The following is a 21,491-nucleotide window of genomic DNA, read 5'->3' as shown; positions in this document are numbered from 1 at the left end:
GAATGTAACATCTTCCAAGGAAGAATTTACAAAATAAGAGACTAACTTACTCTTACAAATTCCAAATTCAGTAAACCTAAGAAATACACATTGTTTCCCACATCAGTATTGCATATGAATAGCATAGGATGTGAGATAGGATATGAATAACATGTTTACCTGTTATTATATACTTTATATTTGTATTTGGGAATCTGGATGAGTTGGGATGTAATCAGCAGATAGATTCACACTCTTTGTTTGGTTGATGTCATCAATAAAGCAAGATTTGAGATATTCAGTTCCCTATCCAAGAAAGATTTCCCATTTAGGGGTGTTTGCTCTAATTAGAGCTTCAATATTACGGTATTTTATCATTCCAAATTAAGTTACATAATACATCCTTTGTTCCTTTAGCCTAGCCAGCACATTAGGAAAATTCTTTTCACTCAAATATGGGTGCAATGTCCCAAAGCATTTTCATATTTTTTGAGGAAAAAGATAGTGATGATCTTTTTCACACTTTGCAAATAATTGATGTGTACTTGAAGATTATCAGGAACCAAGAAAAAGTGGGCCATTATCACCAGCTACAGTGTTCTATACTGCTCTTTTCCCTGAAAGCGTTAAGATTCTCCTAACTTAGAAGAATGGCTTTGGACAGAATAAACCCAAACTACAGATAATTTTGAAAGTAAAGTTGCCTTTAAAAATATAGTCTAATTAAAACCTTTGGATATTACATAAGAACATGTTACATCTTATTTTTCTGTATCCTAAAAATGAATTATTGAGGAGAAACAGTTTCACCATGTATAGTAAATACTCTGAATTATTCATGTTAATGAGAAAAATAGAGGCAAAGATAATGTAAAATCATGGTTATTTAAAAAGTCATTTGTGTTTGTCTTTGGAATGTATTGCATGTTTGGTTTAAAAAAGATTTTCATTGTTATTGTGGGCAAGTTGCCTTTCTAATTATTTTCTTGTGTTTAGGTTAATTTTTAAATGAGTTTTCATGCCTCAAACACGAAAACCCATTTGTGGGGAGGTGGGGAAGATGGGCAGACTGCCCAGAAATGAGCTGGGTGGCAGAAGTGAGCAAACCTGGTATGAAAACTTTGCAGGAAATCATATGTAATTCAAAGAAAGATAAGCAAGACTTGATTGTATGCCTGTTTAATGAATATGTGTTAAGGATTAGATATGTTCCCAGCAAAAATAAAAGTCTTATAGTCAAAGTTTGAGAAATTCAATCCCACTTTACATGTAACAGAGGTGGTTAATATATTTTAAGAAGTGATAATAGGTTGCTCCTGAAAATCAAATAAGAATGTGTTAATGTATGCATCTTACTATTAATACACTGCATTTTTAAGTGTTTTCCTAAAGCATATGTATGTCTTTGACGTTAAATGGCATTCCTAGGCCTTATATATTAATATGTCCTTTCCAAGAGAAGGAATAGCAAGAAGCCATCTAAATAAGGGGTTTGGTCCATTTCATCTCTGTACCTATGCTCCAAATCAAAAACACATTTCATCAAAGAGAACCTCTCAATTATTGTTACAGTGGACCAAGCTAGATAAAATAGTTGAAGTTCAGCAAGACTGCCAATTTAACAGATTTCTATTGTGTTTTTCAAAAGCTCTAGGGCAAAATGGGTTGTAGATGAGTTACTTCAGCAAGAAGCTGATTCATACCATAGCATGAAATATCTTGTTTATAGTCAGTTTTTAGTTGGACATAGATTTTGTTGAATTGTTAGTTCTGTGGACTGTTAGAATTTAGAAAACCTCTGTGTGGAAGGTTAGAACTGCCAAAAATATATGATGGGAAAAGCAGATAAGATCATTTTTATTTCAAATATTCACAGCCAAACTGTAACTTTTATGGAAGTAAGGAGAATGGTGATAGAAAAGTAGATGTACCCTTCAGAATAGAGACTATGTTCTCATCATAAATGTGCTCACTACATAAAGTGTAGGGATGCTTTTTTTTTAAGGAAACATTTTCATTTTTTGTAAGGCATGACATTTTTTAAAGACTTGACTAGACTGAATATTTTAAAAGAAATATTGTGGTTGGAAATATAATTGAGACCCACAGGATAAATTTTATATACACTTATTAAAGGAATCCGTTTCTTCTTATCAATGCCTAAGTCTTAGGATCAAGATTATGCATTTTTTAATAGAGCTGGAAAGAATCTTAAAAGTAATTTATTCCTGTGTCCTCATTTTACAGTTGCAGAAATAATGGGGACCTACAGTGATCATGATGAACTGCTAAAGGCCACACTGGTAGTGGCAGAGCAGAAACTAGAAACCTGGTCTCCTGACTCCTCATCCAGCTACCTCTTAGAAAGTTAGATTAGTTAGGTAGGGGAGTTAACTCTTTCTGGCCATCACGGTATCAACTAATATGTGATAGTCACAGAATGAAGCAGTACAGAGGTAAATGTAGAAGGCTTGTGATTTGCTGTCTTCTTTCATGCATTGAGTAGTCATCGTGGACCAGACTGTGATCCTTGACCCTCTCAGACTCTGTCCTCTTTTTTAAAAACAAATATTTTGTTACCCCCTTATTATCCTCAAAAGTCATTTATAAATAATTACAGAATATAGTTGTAATTTTTAAAAACTAATAAAATAAAAGTAATGTGTATTTCACTACTAACGCTCAGGGATAACTTCACTAGACACATAGTAAAGTCAGCGCTTGTATGAATATATGATGAATAAATTTGAATTTAAGACAAATAAAACATTAGAAGACATCCCGTGCAAGAAGTGCACGAAAGTGAAAGAATGAGGGTAGACTTAAACTAGTGTTGAGATACTAACAACCCAGACTTATTTGTAGATGAAAACCGGAAGAAGAAAGTTAATGGTATAGGGAAAATTTGCCAAGTCAAATGTAGACTCTTGGAGTGGAGAAAATTTTAAAGTATGATATTTTGCAAATGAGAGAGTAAATACCATTGATATACTTCCACTAAAATCCCAAAAGTACTTTCTGGAACATTTCCATGTTGTTAACTAATGTTAATTCTATTTCAAGAGATGAAGGTTACTCACCGTATTGTCAATAAGTAAAATACTTGAAAATAAAAATTACTGATTTGGTGCTGAGTTGGTCTTAAGTTTAATTTCTATCAACATTATAGTCTATCAGTTCTAGAGTTAGAAGATAGAGTACATGAAATAACTAAACTATTTTTGTAAATTGCTCGGCTTTTGGTGGGAATGTAAATAAAATTCTTAATTGTAATTATGTACCAGGTTATACAGTTTGATATGCATAACATTTAGCTAAATAGGACACATAAACTTTATATGGAATATTTTTAGAAAAACTCTTCATTAAATTGGGCTGCCTCCCCCATATACACTAAAAGCCAATAGCACACCACCACTACCACCACCAATAATTTGTGACAACCCTGAACATACCCAGTCCTACCTAAAATATTCTGTAGGTGTGTCACTTGCCATTATGAGAGCCATAGAGCTAGATAACCAAGATTTTTATGTAGGCGTGGATTATTTTTCATGCCCCTACCTATCTATCTTTACTTCTTTTAAGTAGGACCATCCCATTTGTTCACTGATACACTGGCTCTAATGGATCAGAACCACAGACTTCACTGCCCTCAAGCAGGTCATGTTCTAATCTTTTTCTGTCGCTGTCACCTTGGTAAAAATTCACTTCTTCTGGTCCTTATTTCTCTTAGGAATCTATCTTTTTTGGGTGACAATAAGTGGTGACAAACTGAAGTACATGCTGGGTAATATTTTAGTGGTCTTAGGCCTTAACTGCTTAAATGTATATCTCCATAAAGCACTGAAAGTTTTCATATATATATATATAGAGAGAGAGAGAGAGAGAGAGAGAGACATTATCACACACATGTATGCATGTACGTATATGTATATATGTGCATATTTATGAAAGCATATATGTATACACACATAATTTTAGGCTTTGAAAAAACAGGAAAGGAGGTATTATTAAGGCTTATATTTTTAATGCCCTTGAAACATGCTTATGCAAAAAAGAACTGCACTAGTCCAATACTGGAATTTATACCACAAAACTACGTGCTATGAAGTATGCTTATAGTAAAAGCCCAAAAGCTATTTCCAACCCAAATAAACTGCTGTATTAGAATTTTGTTATATTGCTTGTGGTAGATGAATCCTGTGCAGCATATTAGAAGTTGAGGGTAAGGGGTGTGGTCAGTTTTGTCTGTTTCAGAGGTATTTAACCTGTGCACTCTTGACATCCTAAAAGCACACCAACATCTCTTCTCTTTGTGCAATATACAGTATTTGCAGAGAGATTAGAGGGTTTTGAAGATTACTCATATATACAACATACAGGAGGGTGTAGGATCCCAGAAGCAAGGAGGAAATTGAGAGTGAAATTCAAACTTTCTTACTTCTGTCTACTGGACTGTAACTTAAGATCTGCTCTTGAAAATGAAGAGTTAATATGAAATGTAATTTGAGTGTTAGCTACACCATCTTGAATTTATCAAATTGTGAGATATTTTTTCTTAGATTTCTTCCCAGTCAGGGTCCACGTTACATATTTTTAGGCCATTGTATATATTATTCTTTTTAAAGAAAGAAGCTTTTTAATGTAAGCGCAGCACTTGAGATTGAAGTCAATAATATGTGTGTGTGGTGTGTATGTGTGTGAATAACCAATTGCTTTGACACAATCACAAAATTCTCTGCATAGAAGGACATGTTTTACCAAATCAAGAGAGGCAGCTTTTCCGACAAAGAGGATGCAGCAATTGTACAGAACACAATTTGATCTGTGATTGTTTTCTGTGTATTGTTCATTCTTACTGGAAGCTTCTTGGTCTGTTGAATGGCCCAACATTCAACCTCAGACTGACCCCTAACTTTATTCGGTCTACTTTTGTTACAATTTCTAATGCGAGTATAGTGGTGCAATGGGGATTCAGAGAAGATGAAATTGAAGTTGTTGGATTGGGGAGGCGATAAGGAAAATAAGGTGTTTCTTTCATTTGAACAGCACAAAGATCTATATAGGCAGTGAAATTTTATTGGAATATCTGCCTTTTACTCTGCTTTTTATTTTTGTATGGAATAGAGGGAAAGATTGTGGAAGTAAAACCCTCCTTCCTCTTTGTACTGTTAACTCTGCTATACAAGAGAAAACCTTCTTTGTCAGAGTAAACAGATATGGCACATTCCACTCCCATTGTTCAGAGTGCCTCCTTTTGCTATAGTACTTCAATGCTACCCTAAACTGAACTCTATAACACTAAAGAATATGGTTAAGAAAAGGAAAAATATACCCAGCTAATGTGGTAAAAGAAATTTCAGAAGGCTCTGTTAGATTTATGTGAAAATGGGAAAACCAAATAAGATGACACCGTCAATTCAAATGAAGAAACGATACTTACTTTTCCATTAATTTCAGTACCAAGAAGCCCAAAATTCCACTTAGTTTTGCGGTCATTTCTATTGTTTTCTTTCTTTTTTTTTTCTTTTCACAGATGGAATTAAAGTGGTGACCTATAGGTCCAGCTTACTTTAAGCAAATATAGTCTGTAAGGATTTAGGTAAAATAGTGATGTTGATTATATACTTTAATGAATACATTTAAAAATTAAATAGGCACAGTTTTAAAGAAATTATCATCTAAATTAATTTAGTTTTTTACAGGATTCTTTGAACAGTCGATTAGAAGGAGGGTAATTTTTTTCCCCAAAAGATCGATTTCTCAAGTTATTAAAAAAAATGCTTAGGTGTTAGTGACATTTTTTGGACAAAAAGCAGTAACTATCAACACCCTTTTACCTTCTAACATTTGCACTCTATTTTCAATTAGGAATTTTTATTATCAGAGAATGAGATTTTATTACTCCAGCAGGGCTGGCATTCAGCTAGATGCACTGGTATAGTCTTACTGGTTATTTGTAGCTGGAGTCCAAATTGTGCTGATTGTTAAATAATTTAAATACTAATCCTCCTCTTGCATGATCACTTTTGTAACTTCAACCTATAAATATACCACTTGCTACTTGCTAAAAGTCTAGCAAAGTCATTTTTTCAGATTTTGCAGATCAGGGAATTAGAACAGCATTTAGAATAGAAATGAATTTGAAAATCACTGAAATCCCAGGTACCAGAGCTTGTTCATCTAATACCTCAGACCTTTGATTCACCTTGGGATTTCTCAACATACATATACCAAGTACTAACCAGTAAGAATGGCTTGAGATTATTGATATATATTTAATGCAGAACACTCTATAAAACATAATCGCAGCTCAGAAAGTCCCTCTACATTGCCCACTTGTAGATACAGCTCATACACCTGGCATTTCTTCTTGTCTATCTTAAAGAAACATCAAATGAAACATGTCAAAATCAAACTCCTGATCTCTGCTCATCTCACCTCAAGGGTGCAGGGTTCCCATAGTCCAATCTGGTTTTAATCTTGACATTACTTCTCCTTCAATTCCATTACCAAGGCTTTGATTTTGACCTCCAAAATTAATTACAAAAATCTGCCTCTGCCGTCACACAAGTGTAAGCATTCACCATCCTTTGTGTAGAAAAACAACAATGTCTCCATGACTGATCTCCTGGCATTGTTCCCCACCCCCAAATTCATCCTCCAATGGGATACCAGATATTATATTTGCATTCAAAATGCAAATATGAAAACTATCACCTTGCAACCACGGATAACACTTAAATGAATTACCATTGCTTTGCTTAAGATAAAGACCAAAACTCAGCACCTGATTTTTGTAGCCCAGCAAGGACAGCCTCCTCCACTTTTATCTCTTTAGATGCTCCCATTCTTCCCTCAGCTTCAGCTGCCTGGCTTTCTTCAAGCTGCCTTAACATTCCAGCTCTCTCCCATCCCCCCATCCCCTAAAAACACAAACTCAAGCATTCTCTAGTTAACTCTTAGTTAACACTTTGAAAATATCAACTCAAATGTCACTTCCTCAAATGAACCATCTCTTACCCCTAAATTGAATTAAATCCCTTTATAAAATACATATAAGTATATACACATTTATGTATCTGTATCCATTGTGCTTAGAAGAGTTGCAAATTCACATTTATTTGTATAATTATTTAATTAACCGCTAAGATAGGGATCCATCTGGTTTTGATGGTCCTTGTATTCCTAACAAATACTACAACGCCTGCTTCAGAGAGGAAGTGTAATAAATATTTGTTGAATAAATGTTGAGTGAACATCTCTAACTCCACATGTACAAAGTTATACACATGTGCCATATGCAAACACACACATGTATCCACCCTCACATTCTAATAAAAAATACACAAATAAGTAAATAAAATAAAGTTTGTAAGCTATGATGCCCCACTTTTTTCTTTGTGACCTCTCCAAATATCATACTCCTCGTTCTATTTCTCTTTCCTCTCCATAATTTAGATGTGGTTTGGGTGTTGCTACATTTATTTAGAAAGTAGGGCAGGGCTGTTGAATTTCTTACACCCCCCAAAATAAATAAATGCCCAGGCATGCCTTTATATTACTTCCTCTGACATGTGGAATCCCTTGATAATTTCAGGAATTTTAAAAGGCTTCACTTTATGGGGGTTTTATGCTCTGCTGTTTGTATACATTCCGGCATTAAGAAGTGGTCTAAGATTTTACCATATTGAAGAAAACAAAAATCCTCTGAAAGTTACCTATTCATATGGCCCCTATATGAAAATAAGGAAGATAAAGGAGAACAAAAATTAAAATAAGAAAAAAATAGGTGAAATTGAAAAAGTAATATAAAAGTCTATGTTATAAATTAAAGGTTTATATTTTTAAGAATTGCACAAAAGATTCAAACAAGGTATAAAATAGTTAAGGAAGACCTATATCATACTGATGGGCACTTACTATGTTTTAGATACTATGCTAACATTCGTGACTGAATTCAAAATGCTGCATTAAAACTGAGTTGGGTTAGCACTGTTTTTATTTAAAGCCTTCTTGCTTCAACTAGTTTAGGGGAAACTCTTGAACATTTTGTCCCAGAAAGCAAGGAATTGCTCAAAAACAAATGAGGGCACATCAGAAGGACATAGCCAGATTTAAAAGACTCTCCCTGGCCAAATTTGGGATCTTTTGTATATAAAGAGTAATAATGTATGTAATGGATTAGAGCACATTGACTAAGAAAAGTATCCGTGAACCCAGAGTGTGTGAATGCACAGATTGGGTGGAGAGAAGGAAAGGCTGTGTTTCACTGAAGAATACAAGCTGATAATGAAAAAGAAATAGTAGAGCCACATTTTTGCAACCACCATAACAAGAATAATAAAAAAGTCATCTGCCATTGGGTGAATGGTTGATGGGGACAGGATATTCACATTATCTCTTCATGTCACCCTACAGATTGCTTATTAATTGAAAAGGGGGGACATCCCTTTATGGTTGGTGTCTGACAGATACCAGCTAATCAAATGATCAGACTTGACATCACTAGAAGTAGTACAAATTGAAATCATGTATTTTTTTTATGATACATGAAGAATGACACAAAAGTCTCTTCTGAAGTATTCTGCTAAAAATGTTTAACCTGAGTCTAATCACGAGGAAACAAACGATCAGGCAAATCTAAACTGGTAGATTTTCTTCACTACAACTAACCTGGACACTTCAAAAATGTCAGTGTGATTAACAAAAAAAGCCTGAAATATTGTTCAGGATTAAAGGAGACTAGGAGACCTGGCAACTAATTGCAAGACATCCATCCTTCTTGATTAGATTCTGGATGAAAAAAAATCTATAAAGGATAATATTGGAACAATGGAAGGAATGTGAATTTGGGCTATAGCTCATATAACAGTATTACATCCCCGTTCAATTTCTTGAGTGTGATCATCATATTGGGGTTATATAGAAGGATGTGTCTTTAGGGAGAGGATATATTTGAAAGTATTTAGAAGTGAAATCTCATATCTGCAACTTTCAAATGGTTCAGCAAAAAGAAATGTTTTAAGTGTAAGAAAGGGAGAAATAGGCAAATAATTATGGCAAAATGTTAATAATTTTTACATCTAGATAAAGAGATTATATGCCACTTGTTATATTGCTAATTTCTGTAGGCTAGACATTTTTCAAAATAAAAATTAGAAAAAATATCCTATGATTTTAAGTTAGCTATCCAAAGGATAAAATAATTTTTATATCTTGAAGTGAGCTTAAATGTTTGAAAGTTGTTTAATTAACAGAGTGTCTTCTCTAAAGTATCTAAATATCTTAATTCAACATTCTATAATAATTCCATAATTTATATATAAGCACTAAAGAAAAAATTATCCTTAGAAGAATATGTTTCAGGCAATGTAGGAGACAATACATAATATGATAATATCAGTATGTATTAGATAAAATAATTTTTTTCATTTTTCCAGTTATATATGAGAACTTTTCAACATGAGAAATTTTAAAGGGAAATGAGTCATCTATGGCAATATGTGTTTTATTCTTCCATGTCTTTCCTAAACATTGGTGCTCGCCTACAAAACAAAGTATGAGATTACTGATGATTTTCACTAAAATGTCTACAACCTAGCAGAATGCAGTTTCAGTGTAGAATAGATCTGGCCAGGGCTACAGTGACATTTAGAATCCTGTGTGATTCTCAACTCTGCAACTTCAGGAAGACTGGCAAGCACTGTTAGTGCTAATATATTAGAAGCAGATACTTACAGCCTAATAACACAGGTATACAATTATCAAAAGACAAAGCTCTCGATTTAGTCAACAAATATCCATCAAGTACAGGTTCTATGACAGGGACAAAGTAAATGAGGTTAAATAAAAATATTTATAAATTTGTAAATAAAAATTTATTTCTTCAGGAAAATTTTAACCTCAAAATAAATGTTTAAAATATTCCTCATACTGTAAAAGCATATGATATAATATTTCTAATCAGGTCCCTGTAGGAATACTTTGCATGGTGCTAAGATGATATTTAGGGCTCCTGCAGATATGTGTGGTAACTTAATCAAAGCAAGTAGATTGGTGCCTTTTGGTATATGATAAAAAGAAAACATGTAGCTCTTCTTATATCTTAACATACAATATATCATGTATCTTAATGTACAATATAATAAACCAAAGATAAGAATATGGATAGTTATTTCCACTCATATTTCATATAGTAAGTTGATAAATTATTATAAATAATAGCAAAGAGGGAGAGTTTCGAGTTTCTGAAAAAGTCAGAAAGAACTGGTCTCTTGATACTGCCAGCCTACACTATCTTGAGGTTAAAATTCACTATGATGGAATCTCCTTATTAGGAAAATTACAGTTCATCTTCAGCTTATATTAAGACAAATATATTAGTAATCAGTTTAAACTTGATATTGTTTTAATAAGAAGAAAATAGTAACAAATTGTTGTGGAGATGGAGCATGTTCTTAAGAAGTACTGATTATCTTAAAATAAAGGTAATAATATAACAGCTTTGCTCTTATACCCCTATCCCCCTCCCACTCCCATGCTACTCATATTTATATCAGTGGTAAGACAAAGGACACTCATACCACTAAGAATTTCAACACCCAAGAAAACTGGGTAAAATCACATTTAGTTATCTTATTAAACTGTTAATACATTTTTATTTCAGATATTTTTTAAAAGTTCCAAGACCATGAATAACATAAGTTAAAAGTTGTTTGAATTTATAGCAGTATGAAAGGTGGACTTCCATACAGAATTTGACATTAAAAGAAAATAGCTATGTAAGCAATTTGTGTAGGTAATTATTAGCTGGAAGCTATTTGTACTCTAAGTTTATTGAATATACAAATATGATAATAAGACTTTGCACAAATGGAAACTTTTGATAATAAATCCGTGTAAAAGACTGTGCCTTGGGGAATAATTCTAGATATTATAAGTATATTTGAATTCCCTGCAAACAGAATGCAGACCTCTAGACCAAGTACATAACCATTTTTCATTCATGGTATTTAATAGGTCATTTTACCTAAAGTCTCAGAAAGGACAAGTAAAACAATGGAGAGTGAAGCTGTTTTATTTGTGCATGTATTAAAACATTGCAATTACAGAAGAAATAGCAAAGTAGAACTATAAAACCTATCTTCAGAAGTAAGCAAAATTACACTGAAAATCATAATTATTGGAAATAAATAAATACCTAATCATTACCTGAGAAGTATTCCTGATATTGCATGTAGAACTCAATGATTAACTGTTTTGTTTTTTGTTTTGCCTTTTGTGGTATTTACTGACCAGTTTAGAAAAAACACTTTCGTGGTAAAATAAAATGTAAAACAACCACGTTCTCTTTATGAACCTTGTACATTTACAATACTTCATAGGACTGTATGCTCCCCACCAAGTCAGTTTTACTGTATACTAAGAAAATAAAAATGAAATGTAGAATCTTTCAATTTCCTTTCCTCATTTTAGATTTTGGTTACATTTTTATTATATTATGTTTCGTATTTTCATATTTAAATGTAGTCAGTGCACAAAACCAGTCTTTTCACTCCTCTCTCTTTATTTTAGTTTATTTTGTGAATAAATAGATTTCATGATCAAGGAGTTTCTTCTAGGAGGACTCATGTAATGCTACCTCCTGCATTCTTTTGTGCCTAATCCATGTCCTCCCCATGCCCACCCTTTCCTCTTGCCTGCGCCTCTAGTTCATAAGCCACTTTTTGATTGTTTTCCATTCTTGAAGGGGACTAATGATGTGGAATGGCAGGAGGTGTTGTACACGGGGAGCCTACAGCTCCAGTGTGGGTCTTGTTTAGAATATCCTCTGTCACCAAGTTTATTTCACTTACCCTCAAGTTGGAAACATGCAAAGCCCCTAACACTGTGTTGTGATTTTGTAGTCATGCGCTTTTCTTCTGTTTTCTCCCACAGTACCCTCATCTGGGAGACCACTACATAGCTAATAAAAACGGTAGGAGAGTGTGCTATTTTCTCCAGCCTGATGTCCCCAGTTATTCTGAGTTTCAGTAGGAAAACATACACCTTCTTTATCACCTATTTATGTACCACTGTTCCAGTAAGATTTGCTGGACAGCCTTTTGGGACTAATATTATTTGTACAAAAATCTATATTAAGCTCAAGGTTTGAAGGTAGATGTGTCGATTCTTGTTCTCTTCTCCCTCTAGATTTTACACGATTTAGCAGGTATGCTTGACAGTTAGTGGTTTTTATACTTTGTATTTTTGTTTTCTTTTTTTCAAAAAAAGGAGGCAGAGTAAAAAAGCCTTTACTTCATCAATAGCAGAAGTTTCAGAGTTCTAGTTGCCACTTTTTTGCATTAAATATTTTATTTAATGTTTAAAGTAAAATTACATATATTGACAATTTAAAGAATAATAAAAGATAAATATCCATGTATTCACTATCACACTGAAGGGAAAGAATTTTTCCAGTATCTTTGAAGTGTCCTACTTTTGTCAGGGGAGATTAACTGTTTAATCAGGGGAGATTTGACCAACCAAATATCTCAGGCATTTAATACAATAAAGGCCTGTTTCACATTCATGACACAATTCCGTGAGGATCAATGGAGAAATTCTGCTCCATTAAGTCATTCAGGGACCTAGGTTACTTCCATTTGGCAGTTCTGCCACCTTTCACCACCTCAAGTCATCCCCTGGTTCCTCTGCAGATGAAAGAAAGAGAGATAATGTGAGAATCTTATAGGATGTTTTAAGGGACCAGGCCATGAAGATGTGTGTATGACTTCTGCTCATATCCCACCTATTGTAAGGGGAAATAGAATAAGGAAAATAAAAGGGAATTTAGCATTGTCTCAGCATACCCTCTGTGTTCTCCTCTCATTCTCTCTCTTCAAGAGGTAACCAGCCTCCTGATTTTGGTGTTAAGGATTCTCCTGTTTTGCATATGTACCTGCCTCAAGCAAATCTTGTCTAGTTTTGCCTGTTTTTGACTTTTATAAAAATGGACTCATACTGCTGATATATGTTGCTTGGCTTGGTTTTGCTTCTTGCTGCTTAAAAGAATATATATTTTCTGGCCAGGCGCAGTGGCTCACGCCTGTAATCCCAGCACTTTGGGAGGCCGAGGCGGGAGGATCACGACGTTAGGAGATCGAGACCATCCTGGCTAACACGGTGAAATCCCGTCTCTACTAAAAGTACAAAAAAAATTAGCCGGCATGGTGGTGGGTGCCTGTAGTCCCAGCTGCTCGGGAGGCTGAGGCAGGAGAATGGTGTGAACCTGGGAGGCGGAGCTTGCAGTGAGCCAAGATCGTGCCACTGCACACTCCAGCCTGGGCAATGAGTGAGACTCTGTCTCAAAAAAAAAAAAAAAAAAAAAAAAAGAAGAATATATGTTTTATACATTTTGGAAATAGTGTACTATGTGTGTCCATTACATAAAGTTTTTAAGTCTGTTATTCAAATATTCTTATTTTCTTGCTAATTTTGTCTGAATGTTCTATCAAATACTGAAAGAAGTACATTTAAAAAATGCTGACGATGGATTTAGCCATTTCTTATAGTTCTATCAATTTTTGCCTTATATTTTTTGATGCCATGCTATTAGGTGCATATAAGTTTAGAATTATATTTCTAGTAAATTTAATTTTGTAATCAAAGTGTAGTGATCATCTATATGCTTATGACTTCTAAATTTATGTATTCAGCCTAGACCTCTTGTATTAGTTTTCTATTGCTGTGTGATAAATTACTGTAAATTTAGCAGCTTGAAACAACATACATATATCATGTCAGTTTCTATGAGTTAAGAGTATGGGAACAACTTAAGTGGACTCTCTGCTGAGAATATCACAAGCCTACAGTCAAGCTGTTGACTGGGTTTTATTCTCATCTGAAACTCAGAGTCATCTTCCAAGCTTGAACTTGTGGGCAGAATTCTGTGTTTTGCAGCTATAGGACTGATGACTTCAACTCCTAGAGGACACCCCTCTCCATAGGAAGTTCAAGATGTAGTTTTTTGCTTCTTCAAGGCCAGCAGGAGATCATTTCTAACTTCAGGGAAGTCCTGGACCCTCTTTGAACGGGCTAAACTGATTAGGTCAGCCTCACCCAGGGTAATCTCCCTTTACATTGACTCAAAGTCAACTTATTAAGAACATTAATTATTTCTGTAAAATTTCTTTACCTTTTTTCATGTGCTATTCATTAGAAGTGAATTATAGGTCTTGTTTGCATTCAAGAGGAGGGGATTATAGAGGACTATTGAGGTTTCTCTCATAATTCTATCTACCACAGAGACCTTGTCTTACATATTCAACTCCCTATGTGATACCTCTTACTTGGTTTTCTCATTAATATCTAAAACTCAACAAGATCAAAACTGAACTCTTGATTTGCTCCTTCAAAAATTTCCCTGTATCATAAATGTCATCTCAAAAAATAATTTCAAATTCTGTCACTTCTTTTTATCTCTAGTGGTATTACCCTGGCCAGGTCATCAGCATTATCTGTATTTGTAGATTAAAACAGCCTCCTTCCTAATTAGCTTCTTTGTCTCTCAGTGTATTCCTCCTACAGCAACAGGAATGATCATAAAACATAGGTATAGGCTGGGCGCGGTGGCTCACGCTTGTAATCCCAGCACTTTGGGAGGCTGAGGCGGGCGGATCACGAGGTCAGGGGATCGAGACCATCCTGGCTAACACAGTGAAACCCCGTCTCTACTAAAAATACAAAAAATTAGCCGGGCGTGGTGGTGGGCACCTGTAGTCCCAGCTACTCAAGAGGCCGAGGCCGGAGAATGGCATGAACCCGGGAGGCGGGGCTTGCAGTGAGCCGAGATCATGCCACTGCACTCCAGCCTGCGCGACAGAGCAAGACTCCGTCTCAAAAAAAAAAAAAAATAGGTATAATCTTTTCACTCCTCTGATTATAACCATTCAATGCCTATCTGTTTCCCTTTAGAATTGCCTTCAAGGCCTTGATAGGCTTTTTGCCTATCTTTCTAAGCTCATTCTAGACCACTTTGCTTTCATTCATTAAGCTCCAGCCATACTGTCTTATTTCAGTTCTTAGGATGTGTTAAGTTCTTTTCTGTTTCAGAGCATTTTGATAGGGGATTCACTATTTGGAAACCTCTCTTCCTTCACTACAACTTTGCACATGATTAGATCCTTCCCATACTTCAGATCGCAGCTTAGATATCACCTTCTTAAAGATACTTCCTCTGACCAAAATGTCCAAAGAGGTCTCCTGTGCCCTTTACCCAATATTCTCTACCTTACCCCTTGATTTTAGCACTTGTCACACTTTATAATCATATGTTCAATTTGTTGTAACTTCTTTCTTTTCTCCTGCTCACCTTTGTATCCCAATACCTAAACACTGCCTGTGTAATAATAGGTCCTGAAAATATATTTGATGAATGACAACTAAAGTATTGCTGTTATCATCAGAGTATGCTAGAGTAACTCCAAGAAGACTTTCTGGGGACATCAGCCTTGAGCCATTTGTTTTAGGACTGAGAATCAGAAAAGAAGAAAGTTCTATGACAGATGTAGTGGAGAGCAAAAACAAATTGATGGATATGGAGATGGGCATGGAGGGCCCAGGAGTCAGTACACCAGAAGGGGCAGTTGGACATTAGGTTGCAGAGGTATAGTGACCAATTTATGAAGAACCTAGAAAGGCAGACGTAAGAGTTTTCCACTTTAAATAAGGATCTTGATGGCTTTTTAGGTGAAGAGTTTAAAATAAGCCACTCTGGCAAATTGACTATGGTGAGTTAAAAGCATCTGAAAAGCAGCAGGTGCAAAAAATCACTCTGACCTTTCTTCTGTTTCTCCAAAGCAGGAGATGAAATTCCTAAGAGAAAGATGTCCTCCCTTTACCAGAAGGAAAGCGTCACTCTTACTATCATCAAGAACAGAAGTTGAGGCCCAGGAAAATCTGTGCAAACAAACTTAGACTAATCCTTATGCTCCTAGTCATTTCTCCACTGAATTAAGGACTCTACCCCTAGCTCCTTTGCTGTGTCACATTTTCCTAATTTCCTACTCTTTGTCTAATTCAGTACATATGTTCATCACTGACTGCATCTTCGGGTCTTCATTTCCCTATGAAGGCTCCTGTGCCACGTAAAACTTATATTAAATAAATGTGTATGTTTTTCTCCTGTTGATCTGTCTTAGGCCAATTTAATTATTAGGTCCATCTGAAAAAGAAAAAAGCCCTAAAACAGTAGAGGGAAAATTTTTTCCTCCCCTACATAGGCAAATGAAAAATAGTTAAAAAGCAATGTTTAAGAAAGATTAATGAAGCACCATTATTTCTGTTGAACTGAAGAGACTGTCTAGAGATAGATCATCTACCCAAGAGTCTTTTTGTTTTTTTATTCAATAAATATTTCTGTTCCACTCACTGTGTCTAAGGCACTGTCCTTGGGATGGAGGATTCTGTGAGCATCACTTCAAAGATGAGTTCTAAAGAACAGAGATCAACCCAAGGTTGGTGAAGGATCTTAAAAAGAAAAGAGAGAGTGTTCATGTGTCCAGAGACAAAAAAAGAATGCAGCTAGTTCTTAAGAATTTAAATAGTTTAGTTTTGCTGGAGAGTAGAGTTTGAGGGACAGGTATGAATGATAAAATTAACGAGGTGGTCAACAGCTAGATCAGGAAGAGCCCTGTTTGTGATCATAAGAAATTTGGACAAATTAAGAAGTGTGAGAAATGGTGGAATATACAAATGAAAATGTCTAGTAGGCATTGAGAAATATGAGACCAGAACAGATGAGTTATTGGAACTGGAAATACAGATTGAGATTTCCTGTTTGAGAAATTAGGTCATTTTTTGGAGGACGAAGCAGAGAAGAGAAAGAAGGGGAGAACTCCAAGACAGAAGAAAGAGAAAGGGATGAGTTTGTTAAAGGTTGAAAAAGCAATGATTACCACTGTGGAAGCCAGGATTGTGAAGCCTTTCAAAATAGTCTGCAGGTAAAATGCCACAAAGGGGTCAGGAATTCAGAAGATATATTTTGTGATAGCAAGAACTTGTAGCCGTTAAAAAAGGAAGTTCTATGTGGCTGTGGTATTTCAGTGTGGATGTCCACTTTTGTAAGCACTTAGATGTGGGTTAATGATGAAAAACTATTTGCCAGTGTTAGAAAATACAATGTTTTCTTAAGATAGTAGCACTAAGTTACTTAGGTTATCATTTATTTAATCAACCCCTTTTGTAACTAATAAAAAATTAGCTCCTTTAAAAGAAATTTTTGATACATTTCATAATTTTGGCATCACTACGGAAGTTTTATTAGCAGGGGACACAGAAGCAATGTAATTTGGAGACAGACAAGCCTATGTTTGGATTCTGGCTCTGCTGGTTATGAGTCATGTGAACTTTTATATTTGGTGCTTACTTTTGTCTCTCAACAATATCTATATTGGAACTTGATATTTTAGTTTTAGGCTTTATCTACTGACTTCCCACCATGGGATGAGAGGATTTAGTCATTGTTCCTTCTTCATTCAACCATGCATGTATGTCCTGGTCCTTCCAACCCTCCTATTCTTCCATTATAGTGATGCCATTTTGTTTAGAGTCAGTGCTTTCATTATTATGACAATGTAAATGTTATCCACGATTTAGCTGTGCAGCTTCATCTAATTTTTTCCTTTTCTGCATTTTCTATTTTCCCTGAAGTTAATAGCATCTTACTCTTTCATTTGCTCAAAGTTCTAAGTTTGTATCACTTATCCAAGCAAGCTCTTCATCATTGTCTAAATATTCTGTCTAGATTTTAAAACAAACCATCTTGTCTGCCAGTTTTATCTTTCCACACAGTCTCCCAAGCATCTGTTTTGCTCCAATTTGAAATGCTTGCTCTCTACACCTGTTACACAGCTGTTATCCTGCCAACCAATCGAAATTTTCTTTTCTCTCTCTCCTTTTTCAGATCAGGTTTCTGCATCCCATTTCTTCCGCTCATCTAACTCCCTTGCCTTGTTATGTCCTCTGGTATCTTTCCGAGAGGTAGATATTTTGAGAACTTGTCTGAAAATGTTTATTTTACACACACAACCTTGATTGACACATTGATAGAATTTGGTAGCATTTAATACAATTTTAAGTGATAATTGTTTTCCTTGAGAATTTTGAAGGCATTCTTGCTCCATTGCCTTATTCTAGATTCCAGTGTTGCTACTGACAAGTCTAACACAATTTTGATTCTTGATCCTCCTCATGTGATCTGTTTGTTTTTCTCTGACAACATATATAGAACCTTTTCTTTATTACCAGTGTTCTGAAATGTCAAGACAATGTCCCATAGTGTATTTATTTTTTTATCCATTTTGCTAAGTACTCAGAGTGATCTCTTTAGATCTAGAAACTCATGTTTTTCAGTTCCCTGAAATTTTCTTGAATTATATCATTAATGGTCTTCTTCATTTTGTTTTCTCACTTCTAACTGTCTGAAATTCCTATTACTTAGATGTTGAATCTCTTAAATTAATCCAATTTCCTGGCTTTTTTTCCTCTTCAATTTTCCATCTTTTTTTTTCTTTTTGTTTACTTTCTAAGAATCACCTTAACTTATCTTCCAACTCATATGTTTTTCACTTGGTTATATTTTTCATTTGCAAAAGCGTTTTTTTTTTTTCTTTCTGATTTCTTGTCTTTTTATTAAACATAGGGCCTTTCCTTTTTTGGTGGAACCAATATTTTCTCTTATCTTTCTGAGGCTGTGACATATAGTTATTTTAACTTTTTGGTTTTACTTTGTTTTGTTTTGTTTTGTCCCCACATTCTTTGCCTCACTTTTGTTCTGATAATCTGTTGCCTTCTCTCTTGCCTTCCCTCTTCGGGGCAACCTGGTCAACCTTTCCTGGATTTTATAGCAAACAACATCTTGCTTCTTTCTGGTATCTATGAAAAAACTTTCATTTCAGCTTTTATGATCTTTAAAGTTAGTTATCACTCCTTTGTCTGCATTCCATATTTATAAAACTTTGTGTGAAACAAGGGTGGAGCCAAGATGGCCGAATAGGAACAGCTCCAGTCTACAGCTCCCAGCATGAGCAACACAGAAGACGGGTGATTTCTGCATTTCCAACTGAGGTACAGGGTTCATCTCATTGGGGAGTATCAGAAAGTGGGTGCAGGACATTGGGTGCAGTGCACTGAGCGTGAGCCGAAGCAGGGTGAGGCATGGCCTCACCCGGGAAGTGCAAGGGATCAGGGAATTCCCTTTCCTAGTCAAAGAAAGGGGTGACAGATGGCACCTGGAAATTAGGGTCACTCCCACCCTAATAATGCGCTTTTCCAGTGGTCTTAGCAAACGTCACAGCAGGAGATTATATCCTGCACCTGGCTTGGAGGGTCCTACGCCCACGGAGCCTCGCTCATTGCTAGCACAGCAGTCTGAGATGAAACTGCAAGGCGGCAGTGAGGCTGGGAGAGGGGCGCCCGCCATTGCGGAGGCTTGAGTAGGTAAACAAAGCGGCCAGGAAGCTTGAACTGGGTGGAGCCCACTGCAGCTCAAGGAGGCCTGCCTGCCTCTGTAGACTCCACCTCTAGGGGGCAGGGCACAGCCAAACAAAAGGCAGCAGAATCCTCTGCAGACTTAAATGTCCCTGTCTGACAGCCTTGAAGAGAGTAGCGGTTCTCCTAGCATGCAGCTGGAGATCTGAGAACGGACAGACTGCCTCCTCAAGTGGGTCCCTGACCCCTGAGTAGCCTAACTGGGAGGCACCCCCCAGTAGGGGCAGACTGACACCTCACATGGCCAGGTACTCCTCTGAGACAAAACTTCCAGAGGAACGATCAGGCAGCAACATCTGCTGTTCACCAATATCCACTGTTCTGCAGCCTCCACTGCTGATACCCAGGCAAACAAGTGTCTGGAGTGGACCTCCAGCAAACTCCAACAGACCTGCAGCTGAGGGTCCTGACTGTTAGAAGGAAAACTAACAAACAGAAAGGACATCCACACCAAAACCCCATCTGTACGTCACCATCATCAAAGACCAAAGGTAGATAAAACCACAAAGATGGGGAAAAAACAGAGCAGAAAAACTGGAAACTCTAAAAAGCAGAGCGCCTCTCCTCCTCCAAAGGAACACAGCTCCTCACCAGCAACGGAACAAAGCTGGATGGAGAATGACTTTGACGACTTGAGAGAAGAAGGCTTCAGACGATCAAACTACTCCGAGCTAAAGGAGGAAGTTCGAAGCCATGGCAAAGAAGTTAAAAACCTCGAAAAAAAATTAGACAAATGGCTAACTAGAATAACCAATGCAGAGAAGTCCTTAAAGGATCTAGCAAGGCAGGCCAACTTTCAGTTTCAGGAAATACAGAGAACGCCACAAAGATACTCCTCGAGAAGAGCAACTCCAAGACACATAATTGTCAGATTCACCAAAGTTGAAATGAAGGAAAAAATGTTAAGAGCAGCCAGAGAGAAAGGTTGGGTTACCCACAAAGGGAAGCCCATCAGACTAACAGCGGATCTCTTGGCAGAAACTCTACAAGCCAGAAGAGAGTGGGGGCCAATATTCAACATTCTTAAAGAAAAGAATTTTCAACCCAGAATTTCATATCCAGCCAAACTAAGCTTCATAAGTGAAGGAGAAATAAAATCCTTTACAGACAAGCAAATGCTGAGAGCTTGCCTCACCACCAGGCTTGCCCTAAAAGAGCTCCTGAAGGAAGCACTAAACATGGAAAGGAACAACCAGTAGCAGCCACTGCAAAAACATGCCAAATTGTAAAGACCATCAAGGCTAGGAAGAAACTGCATCAACTAATGAGCAAAATAACCAGCTAACATCATAATTACAGGATCAAATTCACACATAACAATATTAATCTTAAATGTAAATGGGCTAAATGCTCCAACTGAAAGACACAGACTGGCAAATTGGATAAAGAGTCAAGACCCATCAGTGTGCTGTATTCAGGAAACCCATCTCATGTGCAGAGACACACATAGGCTCAAAATAAAGGGATGGAGGAAGATCTACCAAGCAAATGGAAAACAAAAAAAGGCAGGGGTTGCAATCCTAGTCTCTGATAAAACAGACTTTAAACCAACAAAGATCAAAAGAGACAAAGAAGGCCATTACATAATGGTAAAGGGATCAATTCAACAAGAAGAGCTAACTATCCTAAATATATATGCACACAATACAGGAGCACCCAGATTCATAAAGCAAGTCCTTAGAGACCTAGAAAGAGACTTGGACTCCCACACAATAATAACGGGAGATTTTAACACCCCACTGTCAACATTAGACAGATCAACGAGACAGAAAGTTAAGGATATCCAGGAATTGAACTCAGCTCTGCACCAAGTGGGCCTAATAGACATCTACAGAACTCTCCACCCCAAATCAACAGAATATACATTCTTCTCGGCACCACACCACACTTATTCCAAAATTGACCACTTAGTTGAAAGTAAAGCACTTCTCAGCAAATGTAAAAGAATAGAAATTATAACAAACTGTCCCTCAGAC

General features: G+C 36.2%; 1 protein-coding gene across 3 annotated transcripts in view, besides 1 other annotated feature; it reads left to right on the top strand.

Moving 5' to 3' along the window:
- Positions 1–21,491, top strand: part of CHST9 (carbohydrate sulfotransferase 9) — a 278,828-nt gene that overhangs the window by 2,352 nt on the left and 254,985 nt on the right. The gene's annotated exons all lie outside the window — the stretch shown is intronic.
- Positions 18,702–19,901: an enhancer, noted in NCBI's record as "CDK7 strongly-dependent group 2 enhancer chr18:24743020-24744219 (GRCh37/hg19 assembly coordinates)". NCBI's record gives its function as "activates an origin of replication core promoter dependent on BRD2, BRD4, P300/CBP, MED14 and CDK7 cofactors, with strong dependence on CDK7, by STARR-seq in HCT116 cells {active_cell/tissue: HCT116}" and the evidence as "EXISTENCE:reporter gene assay evidence [ECO:0000049][PMID:35650434]".

Source organism: Homo sapiens, chromosome 18, assembly GCF_000001405.40.
Source record: "Homo sapiens chromosome 18, GRCh38.p14 Primary Assembly".
Classification (NCBI taxonomy): Eukaryota; Metazoa; Chordata; class Mammalia; order Primates; family Hominidae; genus Homo; species Homo sapiens.
This window is presented reverse-complemented; position numbering and strand designations above follow the sequence as displayed.